Source organism: Homo sapiens, chromosome 7 (assembly GCF_000001405.40).
Source record: "Homo sapiens chromosome 7, GRCh38.p14 Primary Assembly".
NCBI classification, from domain to species: Eukaryota; Metazoa; Chordata; class Mammalia; order Primates; family Hominidae; genus Homo; species Homo sapiens.
Genome location: NC_000007.14, coordinates 106,997,258 through 107,008,459, shown reverse-complemented (window position 1 = coordinate 107,008,459; position 11,202 = coordinate 106,997,258). Strand labels below are relative to the sequence as shown.

At 40.2% G+C, this 11,202-nt stretch overlaps 1 annotated feature.

The window, feature by feature from the left end:
* Positions 686-1,452: a transcriptional cis regulatory region, noted in NCBI's record as "candidate enhancer chr7.4045 targeted for multiplex CRISPR interference". NCBI's record gives its function as "positively regulates PRKAR2B gene expression with high confidence in K562 cells {active_cell/tissue: K562}" and the evidence as "EXISTENCE:mutant phenotype evidence [ECO:0000015][PMID:30612741]".

Below are 11,202 nucleotides of genomic sequence, written 5' to 3'. Positions count from 1 at the left end.
TAAAAATACAAAAAAATTAACCGGGCCTAGTGGTGCACACCTGTAATCCCAGCTACTTGGGAGGCTGAGGCAGGAGAATCACTTGAACCGGGGAAGCGGAGCTTGCAGTGAGCCGAGATTGCACTATTGCACTCCAGCCTGGGTGACAAAAGGGAAACTCTGTCTAAAATTAAAAAAAAAAAAAGTTTTTAGAGTATCTAGAGATAGCTGGGTCATACGTGAAAGTGTGTGTTTCTAGAGAGCCAAGGTAGAATAAGATGGGTGACTCAAGGAGAGAGCTCAATAGGAGTCAAGGCAGGGGAACTTGAAAGGAGCCCTGAGAAATGTGGGCTGGAGTTGCATGGGCTTCCTGAGCTGCCATGCTTCCCGTGACAGTATAAAGCTGTCAGGCTGCATAGTATTCATAGCATTCCTTGGTTCCCATGGAAAATGGAGGCCAGTTCTAGATTATGGCTGAGAACTAGATAAAAGGTTCCAGATGTTCTGTGAACCATGTCAACTTAGTTTACATACAGATATTGAGCAAAATGAGAAAAATATTTTAGCTAAAGATTATAACCCAGAACATCTCATATGGACCATGATTCAAACACAAACTGAATTCCCTTTTTATTTTTATTTTTTTGACTCCCAACAATGTATAAGTAGCCAGGTATTTTTTTTTAAAAGCAAGTATCACCTTCATTTTTGTGGCCTTTCTCACATAGCTGCATGGAAATTTCAACTATGATGGAACTATTGCAATACTGTTTTTCCTTACTGCTGGAAGTATCACTGAATGAGTTTTGCATTACAGTAAAATAACACCCTGAGCTGTCATGTTCCCATAGTTGTCTCTGAAAGTAAAAGCTGTGATCACATCCAAGTTTAGAAGTAGGGGAAGAGGGACCGAGATAGGGAAGGCTATCGAAGCTGCCACTGTTGTAACTGCTGCTGCAGTCACACTGATAAAGACAAGGGGAAGCAGGCCAGCCTGAGATTCTGGGCCTTAAAGCCCTGGCTCTACCAGCAGGAGAGAAAAATAGCAGCTCTGAAGGATTTATCAGAAAACTTTTTTAAGAACAATGTTATGGAAGATGAACTGGTCTCGTATCTCCAGCGTTTCTGGCAAAAACAGCTTCCACTCTTACCTCAGGTAGAATGACCACACTAAGAATTTAAGACATCTCATAGGGATATCTGTCCAAAGCCTCTACGATGTGAGTCATTGTCAGAATTTTTAGGAAAAGACAGTTGACTGAATAATGAACTTTCAGGAAGGCATTTACTAACCTTCAGTTATGGGGGACTTGCAGAAAATGACCTTTTATCTCCACATCTAGCTAACACACTAATTCCTTTGAAGGACTCATTATAGAATGCTTTTCTGTTCACGGTGAGGACATTTTCAGGGCTGAGGGACCTAGCTACAACACATGGCTCAAGAGAAGCTAGCTAGTGATTTTTCCCTCTTATGTTTTCTCCTTACTCAATAGTCCTTATTCTCTTTTTTAAACTGTTGTCAAGAAATAATTTAATCAACTCGTTTCTCCAAAGAAGCAGAAAAAGCAAATAACGAAAAAGGTTCCATGTGTTTTCTTTCTCAGGGGTATTTTCATTAGGGAACTAAGGAATGAAACACTGCATACAGAATTGCAAGCATCAGCTAGCCCAGTGGGGAGGTATTTGGGCAGCAAGCCAAACGTCGCCCATTCTACATAATTGTCCCTCTCCTTTTTATTTTTTATTTTTATTTATTTATTTTTTGAGGCGGAGTCTCACTCTGTCGCCCAGGCTTGGCTCACTGCAAGCTCCGCCTCCCAGGTTCACGCCATTCTCCTGCCTCAGCCTCCCGAGTAGCTGGGACTGCAGGCACCAGCCACCATGCCCGGCTAATTTTTTTAAAAAATATTTTTAGTAGAGATGGGGTTTCACCGCGTTAGCCAGGATGGTCTCGATCTCCTGACCTCGTGATCCACCCACCTCAGCCTCCCAAAGTGCTGGGATTACAGGCGTGAGCCACCGCGCCCGGCCGTCCCTCTCCCTCATAACATGGTAGACCTGAAGGGTTCCTGCTAACACGGTAGACATCTCTCTTACAGCCACTTCAGAAATCACAGCTGGGGGCGGGTGCAGTGGCTAACACCTGTAATCCCAGCACTTTGGGAGGTCGAGGTGGGTGGACCTCGAGGTCAGGAGTTCAAGACCAGCCTGGCCAAGATGGTGAAACCCCATCTCCACTAAAAATACAAAAAATTAGCTGGGCGTGGTGGCAGGCGCCTGTAGTCCCAGCTACTCGGGAGGCTGAGGCAGGAGAATGGCGTGAACCCGGGAGGTGGAGCTTGCAGTGAGCTGAGATAGTGCCACTGCACTCCAGCCTGGGCGACAGAGCGAGACTCCGTCTCAAAAAAAAAAAAAAAAAAAAAAAAAAGATTTGGGGCCAATGTAACTTTACAGCAATTATACAACAGTTCCCAAGCTGAAGCCTACCTTTGGACAGGGTGGAGGCATCATACCTGGGAGAGAGGTCCTTGCCAAAGAGGGTCTCTGCCTTTCCTCAGGATGATTGCTATAAAGAAAGCAAATGGGCTGGGTGCGGTGGCTTATGCCTGTAATCCCAGCACTTTGTGAGGCGGAGGTGGGTGGATCACTTGAGGTCAGGAGTTCGAGACCAGCCTGGTCAACATGGCGAAACCCCGTCTCTACTAAAAATGCAAAAATTAGCCAGGTGTGGTGGTGCATGCCTGTAGTCCCAGCTACTTGGGAGGCTGAGGCATGATAATCGCTTGAACCCGGGAGGCAGAGGTTGCAGTGACCCGAGATAGCGCCACTCTACTCCAACCTAGGGGACAGAGCAAGACTCTATCTCAAAGAAAAAGGAAAGCAAATAGAAAAATTGTATTACATAAATTACAGTAAGGAATACCAATGCAACATTAAATATGAAACTGCCCTCCTTCCATTATTTATTCGGAAAATGCAAGACTTTCTTCATAGTAATGTCCCCCCTAATTGTATATCATGGACTAATTTGTCTTACTTTGCATCCTTGTGAAGCTTGTCAACTAACATCAGAGGGAGCCCCCCAAAAGGAGTGTGCAGATTGCATGGAGTCGTTGTATCAAAATCTCTGCACACCGTTTCTCTATTTCCCTGACAAACCTAACAATCAAGGACACCTGTTCTTTCTAATGTTATAATCCTACCCCGTAACTGACACTGTGGATGCTTCAGGTTGAAAAATTAGAAGTCACATTGTTTTTGAGGGAATATGGTTTACAATAAATGCCATTACAGACATTTGAATAAAATGTTTTTGGAACGGAAAGAAGGAAATAATCAACTCTAAGGGGAAGGAAATTATATTGACAGTAACAATAATAATGGTAGCTACTATTTATTCAGCTATTCAGTTAGGCCTCAAATGTACACTAGTCCTTCATTTTGAGACAGAAATGTTCTGTTTCAAATGGGGGAGGAGAGTAGGAGACAATTCTCTGCCAATGTTGCTGTTGATTGAATAATGAACTTTCAGGAAGGCATTTATTAACCTTTTTGTCTCACCTGCTTCACCTGTATAATGCGGGTGATATTAGTGTATCACAAGTTTCATAGGAAAACTTCAAATAAAAACAAATGCATAGAAGCACTAATCTGTTTCCTGATAAATAGTAGTGAGCATCAGTAAAGGTATTGCTCTGTGTGTTGACATTGCCAATATGTCTTGGCATTGGTTATGGGTGTTGAAATACGTTACATAAGCTTTTTTGGAGGTGAATTTTGGCTTTTTGAAATACTGGCACATTTTTAGTAACTTAGAATTGAAAAGGTTCAAATACACTTTTTTTTTTAACAGATGCAGAAATAGAGGGTTAAACAGAGAAAATGACTTGCACAAGGTGATATTGCTGGAAAAAAAGTGGACCCAAAGTATGAGTTTGGATCTGTCTAATATCAAAATCCGTGTTCTTTCTACTGTCACATCGCATCTCACCAACAATGCTGTTTTTTTGTTTGTGTGTGTGTGTGTTTGTTTTTTAGACAGAGTCTCGTTCTGTTACCCAGGCTGGAGTGCAGTGGCGTGATCTTGGCTCGCTGCAACCTCCACCTCCTGGGTTCAAGCCATTCTCTTCCCTCAGCCTCCCAAGTAGCTGGGACTACAGGCGCGTGCCACCACGCCCAGCTAATTTTTTGTATTTTTAGTAGAGACAGGGTTTCACCGTGTTAGCCAGGATGGTCTTGATCTCCTGACCTCGTGATCCGCCCCCCTTGGCCTCCCAAAGTGCTGGGATTACAGGTGTGAGCCACCGCGCCCAGCCAACAATGCCATTCTGAAAACATATTATAGTGATGTCAAAAGAATTGTGATACTTTTAATGAGACAATTTCCCTGACACCAGCCATGGCTCTGTGATACCTCTGTGGCCATTCAAAGTCCACTGAGGCGAGGATCTTGACCTAGAGCCAGCAGCTAGCAGGGCTTTTTCTCTCTCTCTCGCTCTCTCTCTCTCTGTCTCTTTTAGAAAGGGTTGGGGAGTGGAGAATAACTCCAACCAACCATTCTTATGAGCACACCAGCTACTAACATTTCATGCCTTCTTTACTAGAACCATTTTCTTTGAATGTCTCTTAGGAGACTCTTCCCTGAGAACAAATAGGCACGTTGGAATCTTTACTATATTTAAAATGACTATATATATGTGTGTGTGTGTATATATATATATATATTTATATATATATGATATATATCATATATATTTTATATATATGATATATATCATATATAAATATATTTATATATGATATATATATATATAAAATATATATCATATATATATATATATTTTTTAGACAGAGTCTAGCTCTGTCACCCAAGCTTGAGTGCAGTGGTGTGATCTTGGCTAACTGCAGCCTCCACCTCCCGAGTTCAAGTGATTCTTGTGCCTCAGCCTCTCGAGTAGCTGGGACTACACGCATGTAACACCACACCCGGCTGATTTTTTGTATTTTTAGTAGAGATAGGGTTTCACCATTTTGCCCAGGCTGGTCTTGAACTCCTAACCTCAAGCCACCCTCCTGCCTCAGCCTCCCAAAGTGCTGGGATTACAGGTGTAAGCCACCGCACCTGGCCTAAAATGACTATATTTTCTAAGACACACATTCTGAATAAATAATTTTTTTCCTGATTACTGAGTTTATTATATAAAAATTCTTATAAAGATACGAAAATTGTATAACCATTTAGCTATGGTTTTTAAATCAAATTCTTATATTAAAAAGAGTAAAAATTACAGAAAAGTGGAAGTACTTTGGGACTATGCTGTATTTTAGGATACAAAATAAATTAAAAACCTTAAAATGGGATCATCTTCATCCCTGTGTGAACAAATTTAAAGAACAATATATTCTTATATTATTCTTATTTTAGGATCTGATAGCAAGAAAAAAAACTTCTGATCAATGTGATGGCATTTTAGAAACATTAGCACAAATTAAATAAGAAGTTGTATATAAAGTATGATTCTGCTGTGATCAGCACAATGCCTAATAACTGTGTTATCTGGCCAGCCCACTGCTGGTTTTTAAAACCCTAAAATATAGAAGAAGAAGAAGCAACCTTTGTTTTCTCCACTGTGGTCAGTAGCCTAAATTCTTATTCAAAGCCATAGTCACCAGGGCAGTTCCAAGAAGGCTGCCAGAGCTACAAAGAATGAGAAATGATTCTACTTTGCTACCATAATTTTTTGGTTTCTTTTTTTTGTTTGTTTGTTTTCTTTGAGAGACAAGATCTTGCTTTGTTGCCAGGGCTAGAGCACCGTGGTGCAATCATAACTCACTGCAGCCTCAAACTCCTGGGGTCCAGCAATCCTCCTGCCTCAGCCTCTCGAGTAGCTAGGACTGCCGGTGACCACCACCATGCCCAGCTAATTTTGTAAAAAGCTTTTTTAGAAATGGGGTTCTCACCATGTTGCCCAGGCTGGTCTCGAACTTCTTGCCTCAAGCGAACCTCCTGGCTCAGCCTCTATCAGGTTTCATAATTTTACTTTAGCCTTCGCAATGGAATTTAAATTGTGCCAGCCATCTTTTATCTGTCAGACCCAGGGGATTTTTATTGTCATTTTGAACCAGATCTATTTTTGCTTAATTCTATGGGAACCACACATAGTTTGTACATTTGCCAGAAATTTGTTTTCCAGTGAATATTACTCAATTCTAAGTAAGTACATTCCGCATTTTCATACTGGGACATAGTAGGGGTGAGTTCAATTAGGAACATCCATTTTTAAATTATATGATGTAGCCTGAACTTTTTTCTAAGTCTAACCTGCTGCTAACTAAAAGTAAGTTAGGGTTTTGCCTATTGTTTTTCAAAGTAATACATTTTAAACAAAGACAAACTTTTATTTATTTATTTATTTTTAGACAGAGTCTTTCTCTGTCCCCCAGGCTGGAGTGCAGCAGCAAATCTCATCTCACTGCAATCTCCACCTCCCGGGTTCAAGCAATTCTCCTGCCTCAGCTTCCAGAGTAGCTGGGACTAGAGGCATATGCCACCATGCCTGGCTAGGTTTTTTGTATTTTTAGTAGAGATGGGGTTTCACCATGCTGGTCAGGCTGGTCTCAAACTCCTGACCTCAAATAATCTGCCTGCCTCGGCCTCCCAAAATGCTAGGGTTATAGGTGTGAGCCACCATGCTCAGACAAAAACAAGTTTTAAAAAAGTCATTAAGAACTGGTTTGTTACAGCAGTGTATCTTATCTGTTGACTATACCACAGCTTTGAATTGTATAACCGCTTAATGTCTGTTCATTCACAGAGCTAACCAGCAGATAACATAATGTTAACAAAAATAACCAGAAAATTAATATCACTTGTCCTTCTATTCCACACAAAAAAGGAAATATTTTCTTACCTAACTTTTGGAGCATGATTTATATGGAAAGCTTGAGCTTGTTCCCAGAGGTGGGAAGACCTCTTGCTCTACTGCACGGGGTATCAGAATATGGAATATTAAGACTGTGTCTCTTTAACCCAAGAAAAGCGAATATTTTCACTTGCAGCAAAGCTTAACTCCCAGGACTGGAAGAAAAAAAGAGGCAATCTTATTACAAGACAGAACCTTCATGTGTCTCAGACCCTGAGGGATTCATAGATGTTATATTTTATTCAGTGGAACAACAGAACCTTTGAGCAAAACTGTCGAAGCAAAATCTATAGAAAATGATGAATCCTTCATTAAAGCTTAAAACAAACATGGAAATAAAATTACAAAGCTCCTACAAAGACTGTAGAAAAGAACACCAGGGAGAAAACGGAGGGGATTTTTAGTAAATGTCATTTATTCTCTCGTCAAAAAAGAAAACAAAGCGGGTTTCTTTGGTTGGCTTGGTTTTCCATTGTAAAGATATAGACCACAGAAGACTGTGTGACCTAAACTAGCCATGAGAATAGTTATTTGCCCAAACATGTGAGGCTTGAAATAAAATTTTATGTTTCATTTAGCCTTTCAAATGGACAGAGATTTTCTTTTAAAATGTACCTTTTATATAGAGAAAATGATAACGAGTAAAATGTAAATGGTCCACAATTCCATTGGCTAGATAACTCTGTTGATATTTTTATTATATTAATTAATTAATTTATTTATTTTTGAGACAGAGTCTCGCCCTGTCACCCAGGCTAGAGTGCAGTGGCACCATCTCGGCTCACTGCAAGCTCCACCTCCCAGGTTCACGCCATTCTCCTGCCTCAGCCTCCCGAGTAGCTGGGACTACAGGCACCCGCCACCACGCCTGGCTAATTTTTTGTATTTTTAGTAGAGATGGGATTTCACCGTGTTAGCCAGGATGGTCTCAAGCTCCTGACCTCATGATCTGCCTGCTTCGGCCTCCCAAAGTGCTGGGATTACAAGTGTGAGCCACTGTGCCCAGTCAACATTTTTAAAATTAAAAGTAATACAAACACATATTTTTAAAAATTCAAATATTAGTAAGTTCTGAGAGGTGTAAATGAAAAAAGATGTGTTCCTCCCTTCCCCTCTCCTTAACGACCAACCTATTTCTCCAAAGGAGAAATTGTTAACAATTGCTGTTTATCCTTGCATAAAAGAGAATATGTCTCAGGATACCAGCATATACCCTAAGATATATGCTGGGGTGTGTGTGTGTGTGTGTAAGATTTTTTTTCACAAATGGTATGCTATTCCATTGTATATTGATTTTTTCATTTAATATTATATATTTAATAATATATTTACAGATCTTCCCATATCAGCATACACAAAGCTATTACATCATTTTTTAAAGACTTGATTTTTACAGCAGATTATTTTTAACAGCTGTAAAATAGTTCATTACACAGTGTGCCATAAATATATAATCAGTTCTCTATTGACTAACATTTAAGTTGTTTCTAACTTTTGTGAGTATATCTGTGAAGACTTAGCCGTTGAATAGCTGTGAAGAAATGTCAACATTTTAAAATTTTATAGATATTATCTAATTTGTTGAGTGAGCTTTCTCTCCCACTAACAGTATTTGAGAGTTACTATTTCTCTAGATGAGGTATTATCAAATTTTAAATTTTTACCCAAGAGAAATTCTCTTGAGTTTAGAGGTTTAGAGTACTCTCATTTAATTCTTTTTTTTAAATGGATGGACTTTTTTTTTTTTTTTTTTTTGAGACAGAGTCTGGCTCTGTCGCCCAGGCTGGAGTGCAGTGGCGCGATCTCGGCTCACTGCAAGCTCCGCCTCCCGGGTTCGCGCCATTCTCCTGCCTCAGGCTCCCGAGTAGCTGGGACTACAGGCGCCCGCCACCACTCCCGGCAAATTTTTTGTATTTTTGGTAGAGACCGGGTTTCACCGTGTTAGCCAGGATGGTCTCCATCTTCTGACCTCGTGATCCGCCCGCCTCGGCCTCCCAAAGTACTGAGATTACAAGCATAAGCGACTACGCCCAGCCAATGGATGGACATTTTAACTAAAGTAAACCAGAGTACACTTGTTTTTGAAATACATGTTGTCTTAACGTAGTGATATGTGGACCTGTGGGGGTAAAAAAAATACTTTAAGATTGGATTGGCAAAGGTGGCTAACACCAGAGTAAAACTTTGTAGGCCAATAAGTTTTAGGAAACTTTCTAAAGAGTAAATTAAACTGATAACTCTGGTGTTCAAAAGCTAATGTGCAGCTGAGAGGAGAAATGGGGAGTTGTTTAATGGGTATAGAGTTTCAGTTTTGCAAGATGAAAACAGCCCTGGAGATTGGTTGCGAAACAATGTGAATGTACAAAACACCACTGAGTTTCACACTTAAAAATGGTAAAGATAGTAAATTTTGTGTGTATTTTACCACAATTAAAAAAAAAACTAATGTACGAGATCATGCATCCCTAGAGAAAGAAGACAGCTATTTAAGTATAGTTTCAAGAGTTTAAGGGAAGAACTTCTACCAGAAACTCAGTTGAATACTTTCAGGGGCCAGTTAATATTGTTACACCATCAGAAAGGGCTCAGAATGCAAGGATCCCCAGTAATGGATTTAAATTTAATCTAAAGCACAAATGACTAATATCTGCAGCAGTAATCTCCCCTCTTGTGCTGTGGAATAGTTGCCCTACCAGGGCATTTCCCCATCAGGGAAAGTATACGTTCTCTTGAGCCTAATCAAACGTTTCTCACATAAACTTGCAGTCATAGCCTTCAATCCCAATGACTAGGTTTAGCACCTGGAATGAAGATGCTGAAGATGAAAACCTAGTTATGACCAAGGGGCTCAGGTCATTCATTCATATGTCAGGTCTGACATACACCATGGTTTACAAGCACTCTATAATTATTTTTGTCATCCCTCACAGCCACCTTGTGAGAAAAGCCAGACTGAAAGGGACAGTGTGGTCTCCAGAATCTAGAGAAAATAATAACACTTTTGTTCACAATAACTCTGAGACTCAGGGTACTGATTGCCAGAGCAGACAAATCACTGTTATAAAAATAAAATACATTTATCTTGGAAAGGTGACTCACTATGAATGCTAGGGAATTATCTAATTAAAGTGTTTCACAAATAGAATAAGACCATTTCTCGAATATTCAATGGAAGTTGGATAGCTGCTTGCTGATAGCACAGAGCAGAGCATCTCAACGATGGCTGAAGATTAGAATCACTTGGGGGATCTTTTAAAAGTCTGATTCCCTGGGGTCATCCCAGACCAATTAATCAGAGTCACTGAGGTGGGTCTTCAGGTGATTTCAAAGTGCAGCTGAGGCACAAAGTTTCTCAATTTCAGTGTGCATTATCCTTGGGCGGCTTGCCTCCACCTGTCCACCACCCCAAAGAAATTTGGTTTCGTAGGTGTGGGATTTTCTCACAGATCTACATTCACACATGCATCTCAGGTGATGCTGATGCAGATGATCTCTGGTCCACATGTGACTACTGCTACCGGACTGAAGTTCCTGATTTTTCATCCTCATCACTTATCTTTTCTGCTTCTCCATAAATCTTCTCCCCTGGGCTTTGTTCTTGTGGCTCTTCACCCCAAGCTAATCATTTTTATTGCTTTGCCCTGGACTATGCCCAATGAGTTATTACTTACAATGAGTGTCTCCAAACTGGCCACATAATCCGATGAAGTCCTGACCAGGGCTGAAAAGAATGGAAAGATGAAAATATGATGTCATGGTTTCCTCATGTCATGCTTTTGCTAAATAACTCCTGGATTCATACTTTTAAAAAACAAGAACACGATATTCAACACTCACCAACATCAGAATGTAATATCAGGGCTGTTTTGCTGAGTCACAATTAACCTGTTGCCTACCATGAAGGTGAAAATATTTTCAGCCAAGCTCACTAGAATTAGCCCTCTAAAGTTTGTATTTGCATTTTTTGTTTAGAAGTTTTGTCATTATTAAATGTCATCATCATTATTTTTGACCACTGCTCAAGTTAATGTCATTGGCAAATGATGAACACATGTATGTTCCATGATTCAAGTTGTCAAGAGAAATTGTAAACATTCTGATCTCAGAACAGATCCTGTACGTTCAAATTTTGTATTTCTCTCAGGCTCACCTAGAACTCTATATGCCTATTTGAATAATCATAGCCCAGTTTAGGGTGGTCAGAGTCAATGTTTCAGAGCAAAAAGAGAATGGGTTTTGGGTAAGATAAACCTATTTCAGAGTCCCAGCTCTGTTTCTCAGTAGGTAGGTGACCTTA